This window comes from Homo sapiens, chromosome 17 (genome assembly GCF_000001405.40).
Source record: "Homo sapiens chromosome 17, GRCh38.p14 Primary Assembly".
Taxonomy (NCBI): domain Eukaryota; kingdom Metazoa; phylum Chordata; class Mammalia; order Primates; family Hominidae; genus Homo; species Homo sapiens.
Genome location: NC_000017.11, coordinates 5,272,806 through 5,295,811, shown reverse-complemented (window position 1 = coordinate 5,295,811; position 23,006 = coordinate 5,272,806). Strand labels below are relative to the sequence as shown.

At 45.2% G+C, this 23,006-nt stretch overlaps 1 protein-coding gene across 7 annotated transcripts in view, besides 2 other annotated features; it reads right to left on the bottom strand.

Moving 5' to 3' along the window:
- Positions 1 to 13,528, bottom strand: part of RABEP1 (rabaptin, RAB GTPase binding effector protein 1) — a 104,057-nt gene extending 90,529 nt beyond the window's left edge. For all 7 annotated transcript variants that reach the window (XM_047437039.1, XM_047437038.1, XM_011524060.3 and 4 more), the window contains exon 1: positions 13,292 to 13,528. Coding sequence is in view for 5 of the 7 variants with exons in the window: in XM_011524060.3 (XP_011522362.1) it covers positions 13,292 to 13,325 (34 nt within the window). In the remaining 2 variants the exon portion in view is untranslated. The remainder of the gene's footprint in view (positions 1 to 13,291) is intronic.
- Positions 10,723 to 11,241: an enhancer, noted in NCBI's record as "H3K27ac-H3K4me1 hESC enhancer chr17:5187866-5188384 (GRCh37/hg19 assembly coordinates)". NCBI's record gives its function as "activates a minimal SCP1, AML or CMV promoter by ChIP-STARR-seq in naive H9 embryonic stem cells {active_cell/tissue: H9 hESC(naive)}" and the evidence as "EXISTENCE:reporter gene assay evidence [ECO:0000049][PMID:30033119]".
- Positions 13,089 to 13,808: a silencer, noted in NCBI's record as "silent region_8067". NCBI's record gives its function as "represses an Ori minimal core promoter by ATAC-STARR-seq in GM12878 lymphoblastoid cells {active_cell/tissue: GM12878}" and the evidence as "EXISTENCE:reporter gene assay evidence [ECO:0000049][PMID:35858748]".

Sequence of the window (23,006 nt, the reverse complement as noted above, 5' to 3'; positions counted from 1 at the left end):
ACTGAAGAAACTCAGATCTTTGACATCCTTGAGCAGCTGAACCAAATTTAGAATGCTCTACTTGTGAACGTGTAACACACAGAAAAACTGAACCCTTCACTTTTGAAGCTACTAGGGGTTGGCTTTCCAGTTGGTCTCAGACAGTTATTCCTAATGACACAAAAGAACATATAAAAACTTAAATGTATCAAAAGTATCAAATTTTAAATGTATGTAAACTTTGACAGAACAGGGATTTAGCAGAGGGAAGTATTTGGCTAAATATTTAGAGACACATGTATCAGGATGTTTGCCGCAGTGTCCTTTGAAATAGAAAAAAATAAAAACAATACTTACTAAGAGGGTTAATTAAACCTATTATGGAATCCATACATTAGAATACTATTGTTACATACCATTAAAAATAACTTTTTTTTTTTTTTTGAGACGGAATCTTCCTCTGTTGCCCAGGCTGGAGTGCAGTGGCATGATCTCAGCTCATGGCAACCTCCACCTCCTGGGTTCAAGGGATTGTCCTGCCTAAGCCTCTCTCAAATAGCTGGGATTACAGGTGTGCACCACCACGCCTGGCTAATTTTTGTTATTTTTTTTTAGTAGAGACGGGGTTTCACCATGTTGGTCAGGCTGGTCTCGAACCCCTGACTTCAGGTGATTTGCCCGACTCGGTCTCCCAAAGTGCTGGGATTACAGGTGTAAGCCACCGCATCTGTCCTCAAAAATAACATTATTTAATAATACATCATGAACATCTCTTCATTTAAGTGGGAAAAAACATGCTATAAAAGTACTGTAATTTTCTATCAAATTTTTACGTTTTTTTTTAAACATATTTTATACATATGAAACTCTAAAAAGACAATACCGTTGGCCGGGCACGGTGGCTCACGCCTGTAATCCCAGCACTTTGGGAGGCCGAGGCCGGCAGATCACAAGGTCAGGAGATCGAGACCACCCTGGCTAACGTGATGAAACCCTGTCTCTACTAAAAATACAAAAATTAGCCTGGCGTGGTGGCAGGCGCCTGTAGTCCCAGCTACTCGGGAGGCTGAGGCAAGAGAATGGCGCAAACCCAGGAGGCAGAGCTTGCAGTGAGCCGAGATCGCGCCACTGCACTCCAGCCTGGGTGACAGAGCGAGACTCCATCTCAAAAAAAAAAAAAAAAAAAAAAAAAAAAAAAAGACAATACCGTTTTCCCTCAGTATCTGAGGGAAATTGGTTCCAGGACCTCTCAGATACCAAAATCTGATGATATTCAAGTCCCTTATATAAAACAGTGTAGTATTTGCATATAACTTATGCATATTCTCCCATGTACTTTAAATCACCTCTAAATAACTTATAATACCTAATACAATGTAAATACTATGTAAATAGTTGTCATACTGCATTTTTTAATTTGTATTCTTATTGTTTTATTGGTTTATTTTCTTGAGTTGGAGTCTCACTGTCACCCAGGCTGGAGTGCAGTGGCGCCACCTCAGCTCACTGCAACCTCCGCCTCCCGGGTTCAAGCAGTTCTCCTGCCTCAGCCTCCTGAGTAGCTGGGATTACAAACGCGTGTCACCACGCCCAGCTGACTTTTGTATTTTTAGTAGACAGGGTTTGTCAGACTGGTCTCGAACTCCTGACCTCATGATTCCCCCGCCTCAGCCTCCCAAAGGGTTTATTTTCAATCCCCAGATGGTTGAATTCATGAAAGTGGACCCCGCAGATACAGAGGGCTAACTGTATACCAAAGTGTTAATAAACTGTCTTTGCTGACTGTTCACTTTACACTTTTTTTGCATTTTCTTAGTTGTCTGCAATGGGCAATATAAATTTTATCTGTAATTATAAAATAATTATAGAAAGAAAATTAATGACAAGTGCAAGATGTGGAAGATCCAACTTGACAAACAGCTCACATAGAAACAACTTAATAATTGAAATGATGTAGAAAAAAATTGGCCACTGTTTAAAAATAAATTTAAACACTAACAACATAAGTTATGAGCAGCTATCTAATTGATTTTGCGACAGAGAACATCTTTGAAAATGTCAAAATATTACCAATAAGTTTGTCCAAGTGAAATTTTAGATTTCTTTATAACAAAAATTATCCCAATGGCCAGATGCAGTGGCTCACACCTGTAATCAAAGAACTTTGGGAAACTGAGGCAGGTGGATCCCTTGAGCCCAGGAGTTTGAGACCAGCCAGGGCAACAAAGGGAGATTCTGTCTGTACAAAAAATACAAAAATTACCTAGGCATGGTGGCATGTGCCTATAGGGCCCTCAGGAGGCTGAGGTGAGAGGTCAAGGTTACATTGAGCCGTGATCACACCACTGCACTCCAGCCTGGGTGATGGAGAGAGACCCTGTCTCAAAAAAATAAATTACCCCAAAAGCCAAAATAAGAAAAAACATGGAAAATACCTGTAAATATCTGTAACAAATAAAAAACAAAGGCCAATGTCTATGAAGATATTATATACAAAGAGATATATATAGAGAGAAAGATATACAGATTTTTTTTTTTGAGGGGGGAGACAGAGTTTCCCTCTTATTGTCCAGGCTGGAGTGCAATGGTGCAATCTCGGCTCACTGCAACCTCTACCTCCCAGATTCAAGCGATTCTCGTGCCTCACCCTCCCAAGTAGCTGGGATTACAGGCACGCACCACCACACCCAGCTAATTTTTGTATGTTTAGTAGAGACGGGGTTTCATGTTAGTCAGGCTGGTCTCGAACTCCTGACCTCAAGGGATCCACCTGCCTCAGTCTTCCAAACTGCTGAGATTATAGGCATGAGCCACCACACCTGGCCAATATTTATAAATTAATAAGAAAATGAACAAGGCACAGCAGCTCATGCCTGTAATGCCAGCACTTTGAGATGCCAAGGCAGGCAGATGGCTTGAGCCCAGAAGTTCAAGACCAGCCTGGGCAACATGGAAAAACCTTATCTCTACTAAAAATACAAAAACTAGCGAGGCATGGTGGTGCATGCCTGTAGTCTCAGCTACTCCAGAGGCTGAGGTGAGAGGATCACCTGAGCCCGGAAAGCAGAGATTGCAATCGGGCAAGATCGCACCATGCCACCAGACTCCAGCCACAGAGCAAGACCCTGTCTCAAAAGCAAATAAATAAAGGCCAGGTGCAGTGGTTCACACCTGTAATCCCAGCACTTTGGGAGGCCAAGGTGGGTGGATCACATGAGGTCAGGAGTTCCAGACCAGCCTGATCAACATGGTGAAACCCTATCTCTACTAAAAATACAAAGTTAGCCAGACACAGTGGCACACACCTGTAATCCCAGCTACTCGGGAGGCCGAGGCAGAACTGCTTGAACCCAGGAGGTGGAGGTAGCAGTGAGCCAAGATCGCGCCACTGCACTACAGCCTGGTAACGAAGCGAAACTCCATCTCAAAAAAAAAGTAAATAAACTAAAAATTTAATAAGAAAGGGGTAAAGGACATCATGAGGCAATGCACACAAAAAAATGGCCAATATATATATTTTTTAAAAAATCAAAAACAAAAAAAGGAAAAAAATGAACAAAAGCCAATCATACTAAAACTGCAACTAAAATCAGTCAGATACCATTTTTAGGCCTTGCCTATTGGCAAGAACACTTTAAGTCTATACTTCACGTTGACAAGGATGAAGTGAGACTAACAGACATCGTCAGCACTAAGAAGAAGAAATGTAAACTAGAACTGGCTTTCTAGAAAGCAATTTGGCAATATATACCAAAATGTCATACTTCAGATCCAGAACACTCTAGGAAATAAAGATGAGATCAAAGATTAATGTACGAGAATGTTGTTTCCTATGTAATTATTAATAGCGAGAATTTACAAATGATCAAACTGGCAGTAATAGGAAAATGATACATTTATATGATGAATCAGACTTATCACCACTTTTGAGACAGAGTATCGCTCTTTCCCCCAGGCTGGAGTGCAGTGGCTCAATCTCAGATCACTGCAAACTCCACCTCCCAGGTTCAGATGACTCTCTCCTGTCTCAGCCTCTGGAGTAGCTGGGATTACAGGCGCACACCATCAGGCCTAATTTTTGTATTTTTAGTAGAAACGGAATTTCGCCATGTTGGCCAGGCTGGCCTCAAACTCCTGACCCAAGTGATCCACCTACCTCAGACTCCCAAAGAGCTGAGATTACAGGCGTGAGCCACCGCAACTGGCCAAAACCACTAATAAAACAAAACAAAACAAAAAAACTTACAACACAGGGAAACTGTTCACATCATAACCAAATGAAAATGGCAGAATGCAAAACCACATGTGCAATATGATCAATTGTTTTAAAATATTTTTATTTGTAGATATAAAAATTAATTTAAAATGTAGAATAAAAAAATAAAGGACAGAATTATGTGTAAGTCTAGTTTTCTTTTTTTTAAACGGAGTCTCGCACTGTCGCCCGGGCTGGAGTGCAATGGCACGATCTTGGCTCACTACAACCTCTTAGCCTCCCAGGCTCAAGCAATTCTCCTGCCTCAGCCTCCCAAGTAGCTGGGGTTACACGTGCCCACCACCACGCCCAGTTAATTTTTTGTATTTTTAGTAGAGACGGGGTTTCACTCTGTTGGCCAGGCTGGTCTCAAAGTCCTGACCGCGTGGTCCACCCACTTCAGCCTCCCAAAGTGCTAGGATTACAGGTGTGAGCCACCACGCTCAGCAAGTCTAGTTTTCTTTTACACTTTGTACTTTATGATCAGAAAATTGGAGCCTTAATTTTGCCTTTTTAAAAATGATCAAAGTTTACTAAGCTAAAACTGGCCTGAGGGATAGCTAGAATGAAAATAGTCACGGCAACCTGGATTCTAGGCAAGTTACTAATTTGTATAGCCTCAATTGTGAAAGTGTTAATACTACCTTTAAAGAATCAGAAGGATTAAAAAATATAATTAATGCATCCAAGTCTGGTGGCACACACCTGTAATCCCAGCACTTTGTAGGCCGAGGTGGGCAGATCATTTGAGGCCAGGAGTTCAGCACCAGCCTGGGCAACATGTTGAAACCCACTCTCTACTAAAACTAGAAAAAAATTAGTCAGGCTGGGTCATGAGCACGGAGTAATTCCAGCTACTCCAAAGGCTGAGATGAAAGGATCACTTGAACCCGGGAGGCCAAGGTTGCAGTCAGCTAAGATAGCGGCACTGCATTTTAGCATGGGCAACAGAGAAAGACTCTATCTCAAAAAATAATAATAAATATTATTATTTAAATTAACATGCACTTAATGCATTAATTTATCTTAATTGTAAAGATGTTAATGATATATGCTCTCTTAAGCTTATAAACGCAACAGATATTTTTTAAGTCCTTTTTTTAAACAAGAGAGGGAAGCACAGTGGGTGCACTTAACGTACTCATTCCAAATTTTTTCTGAATGAATAAATACTTAAGAATAATCAAGGAGGACGGGCGCGGTGGCTCACGCCTGTAATCCCAGCATTTTGGGAGGCCAAGGCGAGTGGATCACGAGGTCAGGAGAGCGAGACCATCCTGGCTAACACGGTGAAACCCCGTCTCTACTAAAAATACAAAAAAATTAGCCGGGTGTGGTGGCGGGCGCCTGTAGTCCCAACTACTTGGGAGGCTGAGGCAGGAGAATGGCGTGAACCCAGGAGGCGGAGCTTGCAGTGAGCTGAGATCGTGCCACTGCACTCTAGCCTGGGCGACAGAGCGAGACTCCATCTCAAAAAATAAATAAATACTTCTATAAAGACAATATTCAAATTAATGACTACATAAGAAGAGAACATCAAACTTCAGTGGATAAAAACCTAGCATATGATAAATGGAGATATTTTAGAAATTAGAGCCCTTAAGATTCAAAAGCAATTCTCTCCACAGAAAGCCAGGTAAGACATGAAAATTAAAGGCCATTACCTAATTCCAGGCTACTGTGTGTTGGGATATCAGAGTGACAAAGACAGTGGATAAGTGCAGGGCTTTTGTTTTTCAGATTAAGTATCTCTGCTAGTTCAAAGGTTGGGAGATTTACCAAGTTATAATTTACAAACAAAAACATGAACTATTGAATAAACGTTAAGACAACTATCTATCTATTCAGAAAAAAAAATAAAGGGTGCTCTGCCTCAGCCCTGGAAGCGAGACTGTTCCTTATGTCTACTAGTCTTGTATTCTTTAGGGTTTTCTTTTGTCTTAGTGGGTGATCTCCAGTTTAGTTAATAATTCTTTATATTAAACTTCTCTAATTTAAAAATAAATAAATTGCAAATGGATTGGACTACAAAATATAAAAAACCACAAGTGTTGAAAATGATAAGGTTTTTTCTCTTTAAATAAACATGAGAGTTGGGGAGGTCTTCCTCAGCAAAATAAGAAACCCAGAAACCATAAATTTAAAAAAAAAAAAAAAAGGTCAGATCTACATAAAAATTAAAGCTTTCTGCATAACAAAAAATTTTTAAAACGAGGTAAATGACAAACTGTGAGACCAAAATTTGCAACACATACCAAAGGGCTAATATAATTTACAAAGAGCTCCTCCAAATTACTGAGAAAAGGACAACCCAATGGAAAAATGGGAAACAGATATAAACAGACAAGCCACAAAAGAAAGATGTGAAACAGCAACTCATAGTAGAAGAGAAAAGGAAGAGGAAGAAGAAGAAGAAAGGGAGGGAGGAAGGGAGGGCAAGCAAAAAAAGAAAAAAATGAAAGAAAGAAAAAAATGGATGAAAGGAAGGAAGCAAGCCAGCCAGCCAATAAACAAAGAGGCCATAATTAATATAATTCCTATCCTGGAAGTGCAAATTAAAAAGCCACACTTCAACCAGGCACAGTGGCTCACTCCTATAATCCCAGCACTTTGGGAGGCCAAGGAGGGTGGATAAATTGAGAACAGGAGATCAAGACCAGCCCGGCCAACATGGTGAAACCCTGTCTCTACTAAATATACAAAAAAATGAGCCAGGTGTAGTGGTGCACGCCTGTAATCCCAGCTACTTGAGGGGCTGAGGCACGAGAATCGCCTGAACCTGGGAGGCAGAGGTTACAGTGAGCAGAGATCACACCACTGCACTCCAGCCTGGGCAACACAGCAAGACTTGGTCTCAAAAAAATAAAGAAAAGAAATAAAATAGGCCAGGCGCAGTGGCTCACGCCTGTAATCCCAGCACTTTGGGAGGCCAAGGCGGATGCATCATCTGAGGTCAGGAGTTAGAGGCCAGCCTGACGAACATGGCGAAACCTCATCTCTACTAAAAATATAAAATTAGCCGAGCATGGCAGCACATGCCTGTAATCCCAGCTACTTGGGAGGCTGAGGCAGGAGAATCACTTGAACCTGGGAGGTAGAGGTTCCAGTGAGCCGAGATAGTGCCACTGCACTCTAGCCTGGGCGACTGAGCGAGATTCCATCTCAAAAAATAAATAAATAAAATAAAATAAAAAGCCACACATCATCTACCTGCTTAAAACCCTTCAGTGGGTTCCCGTACACCTCTAAGGAAAAAGACCCCTCAGGCCAGCCCATACCTACTCCTCTACCCAGGCACAGTGACCTTTCTTCAGTTATGTTACTCGTTCTGCATCCTCCAAAACCAGGAGTCCTGCTCATCCATCAGATCTCGGCTCCAGGACTACTTCATCAAAAGCCTTTACTGACCTCTGTATATTGGTCAAATAAGTCAGTTATAGGCATTCATAGCATTGTGTTCATCTAGTTGCTCAGGCCAAACACCTTTGAGTAATCCTTGACTACTCAGTTTCTTTTGCATCCCATATTCAATCCGTCAGCAAATCCTGTTGGCCATACTTTCAAAATATAACCTCCATCCTGGTCCAAGCTTCAACATCTTTTTTCTGGATTCATACCTCCCTATTACTCCACTGCCAATCCAGCAGTCAGAGTGATTTTTTTTTTGAGACAGGGTCTTACTCTGTCACCTAGGTGGGAGTGAAGTAGCAAGATCACAGCTCACTGCAGCCTCGACCTCCCAGGCTTAGGTGATCCTCCCACCTCAGCCTCCTGAGTAGCTGGGACTAGAGGCACAGGCCATCACACCCGGCTAATTTTTTGTAGAGATGCGGTTTTGCCATATTGCCCAGGCTGGTCTCAAACTCCTGGGCTCAAGCAATCCACCCACCTAGGCCTCCCAAAGTGTTGAGATTACAGGTATGAGACAACACCACGCCCGCTCAGTGTTTTGGGTTTTTTTTTTTTTTTTTTTTTTTTTGCGACAGAGTCTCACTCTGTTGCCCAGGCTGGAGCACGGTGGCATGATCTTCGCCCACTGCAACCTCCACCTCCCAGGTTCAAGCAATTCTCCTGCCTCAGCCTCCCAAGTAGCTGGGATTACAGGCGCGTGCCACCATGTCTGACTAATTTTTGTATTTTTAGTAGAGATTGGGTTTCACCATGTTGGCCAGGCTGGTCTGGAACTCCTGACCTCAGGTGATCCACCTGCCTCAGACTCCCAAAGTGCTGGGATTACAGGCGTGAGCCTGTATACTGTTTGTCAGGCACAATTCTAGGCATGAGCCACCTCGCCTGTAATCCCAGCACTTTGGCCCAGAGTGATTTTTTTAAAACATAAGTGAGATCACATCATTCCTCTGTTCAAAGCTTTTCAATGGTTCCCCATAGTGAAAACCAATCTTTGCAATACTTCTAGGGCCCAAGAAGATCTGCCTCCACCTCGTTACCTCTCTGACCTCATATCCTACTACACTCTTGCCCCAGGCCCCGTAACATCATTCCAGCCAGACTGACCTCCATGCCATTACTCAAACATGCCAGACATGCTTCCGCCCTCAAGGCATATGCAAAAACTGATCCCTGCCTAGAACACCCTTCCACCAGATATCCTCAAGGCTAACTCCTCTATCTACTTCAAGTCTTTGCACAAATGTCATCTTCTCAATAAAGCTGCCTGACCAGCCTATTTAAAACCAGCCCCACCCCCTTCCCTTTCTCCTGCTCTGTTTTCTTTTTTCCATTGCACTTATCATCTAACAACCCGTATCATTTGCTTACGTTTGTTGTTTAATATCCGTTTCTCCCACACTAGGGCAGGGTTATTTATTATCTATATTGCCTACTGATGTATTCCAAATGCCTAGAATTGTGCCTGACAAACAGTATGCATTCATATTAGATGAATAAATAGTTTTGTGTGTGTCTATAGGATTATCTAATTAATGGCTGAATGATTCACTACCTGGGAAAGGGACTGGGTCTGGTTTTGTTCATCACTGTATTTCCTAGATCCTAGCATAGGATTCGGCATAGAATAGGCACACAAATACTTGTTAATTGAACAATACAACTCTTTTTTTTTTGAGACAGAGTCTCACTCTGTCCCCCAGGCTGGAGTGCAGTGGCACGATCTCGGCTCACTGCTCACTCCACCTCCCGGGTTCAAGCGGTTCTTCTGCCTCAGCCTCCTGAGTAGCTGGGACTACAGGTGCGCACCACCACACCCGGCTAACTTTTGTATTTTTAGTAGAGATGGGGTTTCACCATATTGGCCAGGCTGGTCTTGAACGCCTGACCTTGTGATCCATCTGCCTTGGCCTCCCAAAGTGCTGGGATTACAGGCATGAGCCACCATGCCCGGCCAAACAATATCACTTTTTTTAATCAAAAGACACAAATTTAAAACAAATGACATCATCCAGAGCTTGTAGGATTACAGGGGAAATCCACCTGCCATATATCGTTGGCAAGTATGTAAATTGATGCCTTGGAGAGTAAGCTAGCAACAGGTATTAAAATTTAAACCACTCGGAACTCATGCCCTTTATTTAATTCACTAGTCTTACAGAAGTAAAAGAGTACCTTAAAAAATATGCACAAGGACATCCATTACAACACTGCTTATAAAATAATTAAAATTTGAAAACAATCTACTTGCCCCACAATAGGGAAATAGGCCATAAATCATGCCTGGTACATGCATATGATAAGATCGTCTTTAAGAAGAATGAAGAAGGCCTACAACACTGACCTGGAAGTAGTCCATGATCTAGTACATAAGCCAGATGGCATGGATTTGAATCCTGCTCCCCCACTTAATAGCTGTATAACACAGGCACGTTTCTTTAACTTCTGTGTGCTTCAGTTTCCTCATCAAGAAAATAGAAGCAGTAATATTCAATAGTACCATTGCTATGAAGATTTCCTAAGATAATGCCTATAGTGTTTGCAGAACATTACATGGCCATATAACCATGAGTATATAATATGATAGCTAACATTTATTAAGTGAGATAGGGAAGTTGCAGACTTATGTATGTAAAGCATGTCCTTCAGGGGTAAAAGGTAGCATGTCTGTGTAACTAACAGGAAACAATCAGGAATCCAGCCTGGCCAACATGGCAAGAATAAAAAATAATGAAGTAGGCTGGGTGCAGTTGCTCATGCCTGTAATCCCAACACTGAGAGGCCAAGATGGGAGAATCACTTGAGCCCAGGGGTTCAAGACCAGACTGGGCAACACAATGAGACCCTCTCTACAAAAGAAAAAAAAAAAAAAGAAAAAAAGTGAAGTAAAACCAGAGCAAATGCTTCAAAGATATAGTTGAACTTAGATTAAAAGAAATACTAAAATTAGAAAATTTTCATTTTTAAATTCTCAAGGGAAAACAGATCAACTGAAATTTCTTTAACTATTAAAATTACCTGTATTCCAAATAAGTAAACTAAGATGCAGTATCAAAAACCCAAAACTTTTTTTAACTTACAAAATAATTACAATGAATAAAATGATTACATTTCATCCCTTCGATTTACACACAAATCGATTTTCCTAATCTACCATATGGCCATGAAAAACAGACAATATTTTTTTTTTTTTAAAAAGTCATCAAAGACAATCGCTTCTGAAACAGGATAAAACAAGATAAAGTCAAAGACTAAGCAGTTAGTTATCTTTCACCACCAGTTTGACACAAAAGAATTCTGGCGATTTTTTTTTTTTTTAATCAGCAGGACTAGGAAATTCAAACGTGCCTAAAGCTAAAATGGTCTACATGAGTTCAGCTAAAGACACAAATTAAATCCCCAAAAGCCGGACTCACGGGCTCACACCTACAATCCTAGCACTTTGGGAAGTGTAGGCAGGTGGATCCCTTGAGTTCAGGAGTTTGGGACCAGCCTAGGCAACATGGCAAAACGCCGTATCTACAAAAATACAAAAATTAGCTGGGAATAGTGGCATGCACCTGTAGTCACAGCTACTTGGGAGGCTGAGGTAGCAGGATTGCTTTGACCCCAGGAGGTCGAGGCTGCAGTGAGCCAAGATCGCGCCACTGCTCTCCAGCCTGGGCAACAGAGTGAGATACTGTCTCAAAGAAAAAAAAAAAAATTAAAATCCCCAAGATGAACTTCTAAGGCACTGACACAAGGCACTCAAACGTACCAAATTATCTCTCTCCTACTGTAAAAAGTAGCCATGGCTACCTACATTAATTTAAAATAAAAATTGCAATCTATGCAAACTAAATCTCATCCTAGAGTCACAAGATTTGAGAAATAGGAAAGAAACCTGAACTAAAATACCAAGAATACAAGATTTCCTAAAGCTAGTTTTCCCTAGCCTCGTTCAAGTGCTTAGTCACTTCTGCCTATTTACAAGGAAGACCATTTCATATCTTCAAAGAGGCAGGGAATTTTGATTCCAGACGGTCATGTCACCTGAGCTGCCCTAGACGTTTCTTTCCATGCAACTCAAGAGAAGGCAGCAGCCAGCTATGCATACCTACCACTCCTGTTCAGAACCACAAGCTCTCTGTATCTTGCCTCTGTGTGCAGTAACAAAGTGGGATTGTGGAAGAACAAAGTTTTCTTGCCTGACACCAAATGCAAAAGGTGATCATTAAAATGCAGCCTGAAGACATCCCAGTTTCCTCTCTCTGACAGCCCACCAAAAATGCTTCCCTTCCCTTCTCCTGGAACAGAAACAGCAAAGCAGGTTCTTATAAAAGTCTAAATGCTTACTGGACATCTCCCCTTAGGCAAGCAACAACACCCAAAACTACAGGCTAACAGGCTCTGAAGCACATTTCCCAGAGAGCAGCCAGAACCTTAAAATCTGATAACATGGTTTCAAGTTCCCCAAAGGCAAAAATAAAAAGTAAGGGTTTCACGAAAGGTTATTTTGAGACAACCCCAAGGAAAGCCAAGTTTTAAAGTACCTACTCCGTACCAAGCCCCTTTTCCCAACATTCTACTCTACTCACACTTAAAGATGCTAAGCACACACGCTGATTATAGAAATACACCAGAAAGTACTTTCACAACTAGATACAGTGGGACCTTGGAAAAGCCCAAGCACACTATTTCCAAACATCTATTCTAGGTGGTAAAACCTGGAACCATGTAGTCAATCTGTGAAGCACAGCTTAGTCCAATTTCCCAGAAGGTCACGAAGGGCTCTGACAACCAACTTTGATTATTTAGGATGGGGCCCTTTTTTCCTTCCAAGAATATAAATGACACATTTCTTCGACTTCACTTTTTTTTTTTTAGTTCCACAAGCAAATATCTTCAAGTAGTGCAAGTAGGCCTCAGCATTCTCAAACACTATTCTCATTATTCCTAATACCTCCATAATACTATTATTGTATATACACATTCGTGTTGCTATTTTTATAGATAAAATATAAAGGCATGAATTAACCTCTTGGTTAATTCGTGGGTGAGAATACTGAGGCTCAACGAGGCTAAGAAATGAGCCCAGAGCTTGCTGGTTAAGAATACAGGTCCTCTAGACTCCCAGGCCCCAACACTTAACCATTAAGCCACACTGCCATTCAGGGAATGCTACTAAATCCAGTTACTGTACACAACTACTTTCAGGTCACATAACTGGGTGCAAAGAGTTCTATAGCAAGGATTGGGGCGGCAGGGAGGGTACACTACCTAAGCTAAGATTTTTTTTCTTTAACGAATATAGCACATGTTCCCGATTTCCATCCTCCCCCACGGGCAGAACCCACGTGCCGGTCCCCCGCTACCCAGAACCGCTCCCTCCCCACACTACCCCACGCTACCCAGCAGCCTCCCCACGCCCTTCCCTCTGCCCTCCCGCAAGCGCTGCACCCGCGCCTCCCGCCCCCTCCCCAGCGACGGCAGCCGGGGCGCCCGCGCCGCCCTCGCGCGCCGCAGCCCGCGCGCCCCCGCCTCCGCCCGGCGGGGTCACCCCCGGGGCCTGCGCGCGCCCTTGCCGCCGCCTGCCCGCCCCGAAATCCTCCCGCGACGCCGACGCCGGGCAGGCCGCGCCCGCCGCGCCTGCCATGGTGGGCGCCTCACCGTCAGGCTGGGAAGCCGGGCCCGGCTGCGCCATGACCAGGCGGCCGGCCTCGGGGAGCGGGGATGGGCGGGGAAGCGGCGTCCTGGGCTCCCGCGGGCTCAGCTGGCGGAGGAGGCGTCAACCGAGCCGCCGCCGCCGCCGCCCAGAGAGAAACCGCTAAGGCTGGATCCGCCGGCGCCGCCACAGCCGCGGGCAGAGACGGACCCGACCGCCGACCTCCGCCTCCTCATCCTGACAGCGGGAAATAAGCAGTGCGCAGGCGCAGGGGGATGGGGCGGCACGTGACGTTGGCCCGAGGGGAGGGGCGGGGCCTCGGGAGCGCGGAGGGAGCGCGGAGGGAGCGCGGAGGGAGCGCGGAGGGAGCGCGGAGGGAGCGCGGAGGGAGCGCGGAGGGAGCGCGGAGGGAGCGCGGAGGGAGCGCGGCGGGAGGGGAGGGTTTCGGCGGAGCTGGGCGCCTGACCCAGCGGCGCGGGGAGGCTGAGTGCCGAGCGGAGCTGGAGAAGAGGGGCTGCAGCAGAGGCCTGGCCTCTCGAAGGTGCCGGTCCCGGTTCTCCACCCCAGCACAGTGAGGGGAAAAAAAAAAATGAGTAAGAGAGGAGGACCGATGGCGGGGTGCAGTTCCAGCCTCTACCTCTTCTAGCTTTGCGACCTTGGGAGAGTCACTTCACCTCTTGGAATTTTTATCAATATAATGGCTAAGAAAAGTTTAAACGAGGTAATAAAGTATGAAGAACTGTTTCCGACAGTACTGGGCCTGGACCCCAGGTCTTCTGGTGCAGAGGCCAGTATACTATCCATTCAGCAAATACGTTTGGGTTTTCAGTCGTGATAGATGCTGGAGATACAGCCAGGTACAGACCCTGCACTCATGGCAGGAAAGGAGAAATCATATACACAAAGTGTGGCCCTTATACTTGGGCCCCTGGGCCCTATACTTTAGGAACTCCCCTCTAATCACCACTCCCCGTCTGATTTCGACACCTGGAGTGCCCCATGCCAAGGAGGTAGTTTAAAAAGCTTTTTTTTTTTTTTTGGAGATAGAGTCTCACTCTGACACCCAGGCTGGAGTGCCATGGTGCGATCTCGGCTCACTGCAACCTCTGCCTCCCGGGTTCAAGCAATTCTCCTGCCTCAGCCTCCCGACTAGCTGGGACAACAGGCGCACGCCACCACACCCGGCTAATTTTTGTATTTTTAGTAGAGACGGGGTTTCACTATGTTGGTCAGGCTGGTCTCAAACCCTTGACCTCGTGATCCGCCTGCCTCAGCCTCCCAAAGTGCTGGGATTACAGGCGTGAGCCACCGCGCCCGGCCTAAAAAGCTATTTTGAAATCAGAGAGGAGCATCAGGAATTATGTACATTTTAAGACCCAGCAATCCCACCCCAGGATGAGGGAGTCCACAGGGTTTGGCACTTCAGGACCAAGTTCTGAATACTTGTGGCCCCAGAATTCCCTTTCCAGATGGCTGAAGCTGTGGTCTCTTTCCCAGATCCATTCTCTCTATGGCAGAGTCTAGACATCCCTAAAAGAAGCTAAAGTGAAAGCATAAAGAATGAGTTCATGTCCTTTGCAGGGACATGCATGAAGCTGGAAACCATCATTCTCAGCAAACTAACACAGGAAAAGAAAACCAAACACCTCATGTTCTCACTCATAAGTGGGAATTGAATAATGAGAACACATGGACACAGGGAGGGGAACATCACACACCGGGGCCTGTGGGGGGTGGGGGGAAGGGGAGGGAGAGCATTAGGACAAATACCTAATGCATGCGGGGCTTAAAACCTAGATGACGGGTTGATAGATGCAGCAAACCACCATGGCACATGTATACCTATGTAACAAACCTGCACGTTTAGCACATGTATCCAAGAATTTAAAGTATAATAAAAAAATAATAATAGGCCGGGCACAGTGGCTCACGCCTGTAATCCCAGCACTTTGGGAGACTGAGGCAGGTGGATCACGAGGTCAGGAGTTCAAGATCAGCCTCTCCAAGATGGTGAAACCCCATCTCTACTAAAAATACAAAAAATTAGTCGGGTGTGGTGGCAGGCGCCTGTACTCCCAGCTACTCGGGAGGCTGAGGCAGAGAATTGCTTGAACCCAGAAGGCGGAGGTTGCAGTGAGCCAAGATCGCACCACTGCCAGCCTGGGCGACAGATCGAGACTCCATCTCAAATAATAATAATAATAATCAGAAAATCCACTAATTAGAATCAGTTTCTACTTTCTTTAAATCATTTGTTTTAAATAAGGTATACTTTTATTAAAATGATTATTTCTCACTGAAAAAAAGGGAGGCTAAAGGGCAGCTTTGTTTTATTTTAAGGGGGTGACACGACACTTGGGTGTTTGAGCTCCTATGTCCACAGATCCCTCATGGTGCAGGACAGAGGTGAGAAAAGAAGGCAAGTGAGCCAAGAGACAATAGTTGGGCCAGGGCCTGTGCTGCTTTCGCCACCTCATTCATGGGCATAACTCCCAGGAGCCCAGGAATTCTAAATTTAAACCTGGTCTTCCAGGTCTTAAACAGGTAGATTTGTCCAAGTAGAAGGATAGACTGTATTAAGGTTAGCGGTTAATTGGAGTAGTTTGTAATTTTATTTTATTTTATTATTTATTTAATTTTTGGAGACGGAGTCTCTCACTCTATTGCCCAGGCTGGAGGGCAGTGGCACCATCTCAGCTCACTGCAACCTCCACCTCCCGGATTCCAGTGATTCTCCTGCCTCAGCCTCCTGAGTAGCTAGGATTATAGGCGTGTGTCACCACGCCCAGTTAACTCTTGTAATTTTAGTAGAGACAGGGTTTCACCATGTTAGCCCGGCTGGTCTTGAACTCCTGACCTCAAGTGATCTACCCACCTCGGCCTCCCAAAGTGCTGGGATTACAGGTGTGAGCCACCACGTCCAAACTGGTTTGTAATTTTAAATAATTTAGGTATCTATTTGTACTTTTGCCCCAGGTCCTGCCATCGTTAGAGGAGAGCCAAAATACAGACTCGAGTTTTTTGAGCAGTTAATGTCTCCCAAATGGCTGGTGTGCATTTGAGAGAGCAAGCAGGGTCTCCCCAACACCCTGCCCAACCCCCCATAAATGATTTTCCTGGATGAGCAAATCCATGCTTACCAGGAAGACCTTTGGCCAGGATAGGGCAGCCCAGTGCATCCTCTGTATTGTTGTGATGACTAACACGAGGCATAAGCCATAAAGATAGCAGATGCGGCCAGGTGTGGTGGCTCACGCCTGTAATCCCAGCACTTTGGGAGGCCGAGGCGGGCAGATCATTTGAGGTCAGAAGTTCAAGACCAGCCTGACCAACATGGTGAAACCCTGTCTCTACTAAAATACAAAAATTAGCCAGGCGTGGTGTTGGGCACTTACAATCGGGAGGCTGAGGCAGAATTGCTTGAACCCAGGAGGTCCAGAGGTTGCAGTGAGCCAAAATTGCACCACTGCACTCCAGCCTGGGCGACAGAGCAAGACTCCCTCTCAAAAAAAAGAAATAAATAAAAATAAAATAGAAGGGGCTCCTTCCAGTGAGAGAGTGGCAAATTTGTTGCCATTGATAATGAGGCTTGAAGCCAGGCCCTCAAGTCAAGGTCCCTCAGAAATGGTCAGGCATATGATTTGGACACCTAGGGCTCTCCATGTGAGGGAAGTAGTTAAAAAGCCATTTTGAAATCAGATAGGAGCATCAAGAATATTGAACATTTTCGTATTTTTAGGTAAACCTTAAGACCCAGCAGTTCCACCCCTAGGAATATATTTTAGGAAAACAAATGTATGCTCAAAGTCTTTACTAAGTATAAAAGATGTGATTCTTATGTTCTGAAGGAAATTGGGAATAAGACATAAACACATGAAATAATTAGTTACCAATGACATTGCCCATGTGCCCCAGGAGACACACGAATATTCACAGTGGCATAGTTCATAATACGATAAATAAAGGACTCATATGTTCATCAACAGTGGACTAGATTTTTAAAAAGTTTTAACATACAGGGCATCATGGCGGGTGCCTGTAGTCCCAGCTACTGGAGAGGCTGAGGCAGGAGAATGGCGTGAACCCAGGAGGCGGAGCTTGCAGTAAGCCAAGATCACACCATTGCACTCCAGCCTGGGCGACAGAGCGAGACTCTGCCTCAAAAAAAAAAAAGTTTTAACATACAATGGAATATTCTACAGCAATGAAAATGAACAAACTGGCCAGGTGCGGTGGCTCACGCCTGTAATCCCAGCACTTTGGGAGACCGAGGCGGGCGGATCACGAGGTCAGGAGATGGAGACCATCCTGGCTAACACGGTGAAGCACCGTCTCTACTAAAAATACAGAAAATTAGCCAGGCGTGGTGGCGAGTGCCTGTAGTCGCACCTACTTGGGAGGCTGAGGCAGGAGAACGGCGTGAACCCAGGAGGTGGAGCTTGCAGTAAGCGGAGATCGCGCCACTGCACTCCAGCCCGGGCAACAGAGCGAGACTCCGTCTGAAAAAAAAAAAAAAAGAGCAAGTTCTGTGGAACTGATAGAAAGCATTCACTCTATGTTTCATTAATATAGTCACACAGTGTAGATTATAGGAACGGACGCATCTCCTGCACATTATCCTGATTGGGTCACATCAGCAATGTTGGTTCTGTGCACCATTTTTTGCAGGGACACTGACCAGCTGCAGTGGATGGAGACCCAAGGAATGAAGTATCTATCCAAAAGTTTCTGTGCAAAATACATGGAAATATCAAAGAAAGTTACACTAGGGGTAGGAGGGTAGATGACTTGGGCCATGAAGATTGTCCTCAAATCCCTGGAATACAGTGCATACAGATGGGCAGGGATTGCAGCAAGAGAGTCTTCAGCTCTTCAACTAGATTTCTTCAACTAAAGAAGAACTTGCTCTCCCTCAGAGCTGACCAGAGCAAGAAGGAACTGCCCTTCGGGCAGTGAGCTTGTCACTGCAAGTGTACAAGCAGATCTGGCTAGCAAGTGGTCAGACATGCTAGAGAACAGACTGCTGCATTTTAATGTTGACTACATGTTTCCCATAAATATTATTTCCCCAACTGACAACCCAAAAGGTGGGCAATAGGCACAGAGTAGGCCGGGTGTGGTGGCTCATGCCTCTAATCCCAGCACTTTGGGAGGTAGAGGCATGCAGATCACTTGTGGTCAGGAGTTCCAGACTGCCCTGGCCAACATGGCAAAACCTCATCTCTACTAAAAATACAAAAATTAGCCAGGTGTGGCGGCACGCACCTGTAATCCCAGCTACTCGGGAGGCTGAGGCAGGAGAATTGCTTGAACCTGGAAGATGGAGGTTGCAGTGAGCCAAGATCTCGCCACTGCACTCCAGCCTGGACAACAGAGCAAGACTCCAAGTCAAAAAATAAAAATTTTAAAAAAAGTGGGCACAGAGTAGATAAATCAAAATATCCTCAATGAATTCTGTTTCAAGGATTCTGTCCTGTGGTTTCCAATAAATACAAATGGCTGTCAGACCAGGTGTATCAATTCAGGGTTCAGCTGATAGTACTCACTACTGTTGATAGTAGTACTCACTACTGTTGATAGTACTCACTACTGTTGGTTTTCCTCTCCCTCTGGAATCCAGATTCTCAAGAGCAGGAAGGGACCAGGGAGTGGGGCCAGGGCACCATACGTCCCTGGCCTTCAATAAGGGACAGGTTCAGTACCTGTTATAGGGGAAGGACCAGAAGCAAGGACTTCTGCTTCCCAGACACTTGTCACCTTCCAGGCAAGTGGAAACCCTTGGAAAGTCACAAACTGAGTACTAGCTTCCTCACTAAAGCTTCCCAGGAAGAGCTCATGAGGTACAGACACCCTTGTTGTCTTTAGCCAGGGTGATTCCCCAGCCTGATTTCTCGCTCTCCAAGTATCCCCTGGTTTATTTGGCCATGAGCAACTACTTTCCCCTCCTGGGACCTACAGAAGGAAAACTAGAATCATGATCATTGCTCCATTGCATCCTTGCTCCACCCCTCCATCCCTCTCCCACGTAAGGCCTATGTGGGAGAGTACCGCAAACATAAGGCTGAGGCTGAGTTCTTTTTTTTTTTTTTTTTTTTTTGAGACAGGGTCTCACTCTGTCGCCCAGGGTCGAGTGCAGTGGTGCAATCTCAGCTCACTGCAACCTCCACCTCCTGGATTCAAGCAATTCTCTTGCCTCAGCCTCCCAAATACCTGGGACTACAGGCATGCACCACCATGCCCGGCTAATTAAGGCTGACTTCTCTATCACAGTCTCACAAGATGTAGATTGATATCTAGGGAAGAGCTCCAGGCTTTGAATCAGAAGACCTAGAAATTCTGGTACATGGTGGCTCGCACCTGTAATCCCAGCACTTTGGGAGGCCCAGGTGGGTGGATCTCCTGAGGTCAGGAGTTCGAGACCAGCCTGGCCAACATGGTGAAACCCTGTCTCTACTAAAAACACAAAATTAGCCAGGCACGGTGGCTCATGCCTGTAATCCCAGCCCTTTGGGAGGCCGAGGCGGGCAGATCACGAGGTCAGGAGATCAAGACCATCCTGGCTAATATGGTGAAACCCTGTCTCTACTAAAAATACAAAAACAAAATTAGCCAGGCATGGTGATGGGCACCTGTAGTACCAGCTATTCGGGAAACTGAGGCAGGAGAATGGCGTGAATCTCGGAGGCAGAGCTTGCAGTGAGCCGAGATCGCGCCACTGCACTCCAGCCTAGGCAACAGAGCGAGACTCCATCTCAAAAACAAACAAACAAACAAACAAAAAAACACAAAATTAGCCAGGAGTGGTGGCACATGCCTGTAATCCCAGCTACTCAGGAGGCTGAGGCAGGGGAATTGCTTGAACCTGGGAGGGGGAGGTTGCAGTGAGCCAAGATTGCACCATTGCACTCCAGTCTGGGCAATAGAGTGAGACTCCGTCTCAAAAAAAAAAAAAAGAAATTCTGGTACAAATTACCTTTTGACCCAAAACACATTGTTTAACCTCTCTGAGTTCTTGTTTATCTAAGTTCCTTATCTCTAAAATGGGAATAATAAATCAGCCTTTCAGTACATCAGGAGGCTAAAGAGATCAAATACCTAACCTCTAACACATGGTAGTTGGTCTATAAATATCAGCGTGCCCCTCTACTCATTTCTTTCTTTCTGTCCTTTTTTCCTAGATAGGTAGTTTCCATCCTGGGAAGAAGGGTCCTGGACCATAGAAGTCAGTCTGTGAAGGTATCACTAGGGATCCAGGGCAGAAATCACCAATATTTGCAAAAGCCTAACGGAACCGTCACATTTATTCTAGATAAGGTTGCAAGGCTAAAATGTCAAGTTTCTTTGCTTTGGACAGAAATTATATCATATTGCTTATCACATGCTGATTAAAAGTTCTTTTTTTTTTTTTTTTGAGACAGAGTCTCTGTCACCCAGGCTGTAGTGCAATGGCACGATCTCAGCTTACTGCAACCTCTGCCTCCTGGGTTCAAGTGATTCACCTGTCTCAGCCTCCTGAGTAGCTGGGATTACAGGCACCTGCCATTATGCCTGGCTAATTTTTGTATTTTTGCAGAGACAGGGTTTCACCATGTTGGCCAGGCTGGTCTTGAATTCCTGACCTCAGGTGATCCGCCTGCCTTGACCTCCCAAAGTGTTGGGATTACAGGCATGAGCCACCGTGCCCAGCCCTTATTAAAAGTTGTTATTCCAGTTATTTTATTTTATTTTATTTTTATTGAGATGGAGTCTCCCTCTGTCACCCAGGCCGGAGTGCAGTGGTCCGATCTCGGCTCACTGCAACCTCCGCTGCCTGGGTTCAAGCGATTCTCCTGCCTCAGCCTCCCGAGTCGCTGGGAATACAGGCACACGCCACCACACCCGGCTACTTTTTTTTTCTTTTTTTAGTGGAGACGGAGTTTCACAATGTTGGCCAGGCTGGTCTCAAACTCCTGACCTCAGGTGATCTGCCTGCCTCAGCCTCCCAAAGTGCTGGGATTATAGACATGAGCCACCGCGCCTGGCCTGTTCTTATTCCAGTTCTAATTGGAATTAATTGTTGATTAATAATACAAAGAGGGATCCATTTTTACTTTTTGTTTTGTTTTGTTTTTTGAGACAAAGTCTAACTCTGTCACCAGGCTGGAGTGCAGAGGTGTGATCTCAGCTCACTGCAGCCTCTGTCTCCTGGGTTCAAGTGATTCTCCTTCCTCAGCCTCCCAAGTAGCTGGGACTACAGGTGCACCCCCATGCCTGGCTAATTTTTTTTTTTTTTTTTTTTTTTTGGTAGAGAGAGGGTTTCACCAGGTTGGGCAGGCTGGTCTCAAACTCCTGCTCAAGTGATTCGCCCACATTAGCCTCCCAAAGTGCTGAGATTACAGGTGTAAGCCACCATGCCTGACCCAGTATTACTTGATAAATGTAGTTTGCTAGATATAGTTTCTTCAGAGCTGGTGGATGCACCACTCTCACAGAATTCCTCTTCTGTAACATCAACCACGCCGTGGCATAATTGGCTGGAAATAAAAATAGCTCATATTTACTAGTGTAGACCATGTGCTAAGCAGTGGCCTAAGTGCCTTACCCTTGTGTTGACTCATGTAATCCATTAAAAACAATATGATGGAGATATTGGTTGAGGGAACCTGTCGTCTATTCATAGAGGCAGAGTGGTTTATTTCTTCTTTCTTTTTTTTTTTTTTTTTTTTGAGATGGAGTCTTGTGCTGTTGACCAGGCTGGAGTACAGTGGCGTGATCTCGGCTCACAGCAAACTCCCCCTCCCAGACTGAAGCTGTTCGCCTGCCTCAGCCTCCCAAGTAGCTGAGATTACAGGTGCGCACCACCACACCCAGCTAATTTTTGTATTTTTAGTAGAGATGGGATTTTGCCACGTTGGCCAACGCTGGTCTTGAACTCCTAACCATCTCGGCCTCCCAAAGTGCTGGGATTACAGGTGTGAGCCACCACGCCCAGCCAAAGCTGGCATTTTTTTTTTTTTTTTTTTTTGAGACAGAGTCTCGCTCCATCACCCAGGCTGGAGCGCAGTGGCTGGATCTCAGCTCACTGCAACCTCCACCTCCAGGTTCAAGCAATTCTTGTGCCTCAGCCTCCCAAGTAGCTGGGACTATAGGAGCTCACCACCACATCTGGCTAATTTTTTGTGTTTTTAGTAGAGACAGGGTTTCACCATGTTGGCCAGGCTGGTCTTGAACTCCTGACCTCGAGTGATCCACTACCTTGGCCTCCCAAAGTGCTAGGATTACAGGCATGAGCCACCATGCCCAGCCTGCAGACCATAAAATTAACTGTTAGTAATACGTACCACTTACTGAGCACCTACTATTCACTAAAGATTTTTTATGGAGCGGGCTCGGTGGCTCACGCCTGTAATCCCAACACTTTGGGAGGCTGAGGCAGGTGGATCATGAAGTCAGGAGATCGAGACCATCCTGGCTAACACGATGAAACCCCGTCTCTACTAAAAATACAAAAAAATTAGCCGGGCGTGCTGGCAGGCGCCTGTAGTCCCAGCTACTCCGGAGGCTGAGGCAGGAGAATGGCGTGAACCCGAGAGGCGGAGCTTGCAGTGAGCCGAGGTCCAGCCACTGCACTCCAGCCTGGGCGACAGAGCAAGACTCTGTCTCAAAATAATAATTAATAATAATAATAAAATAAAGATTTTTTATCTCCTCAATCCTTTTAACAGTCCTTTGAAGTAGGTT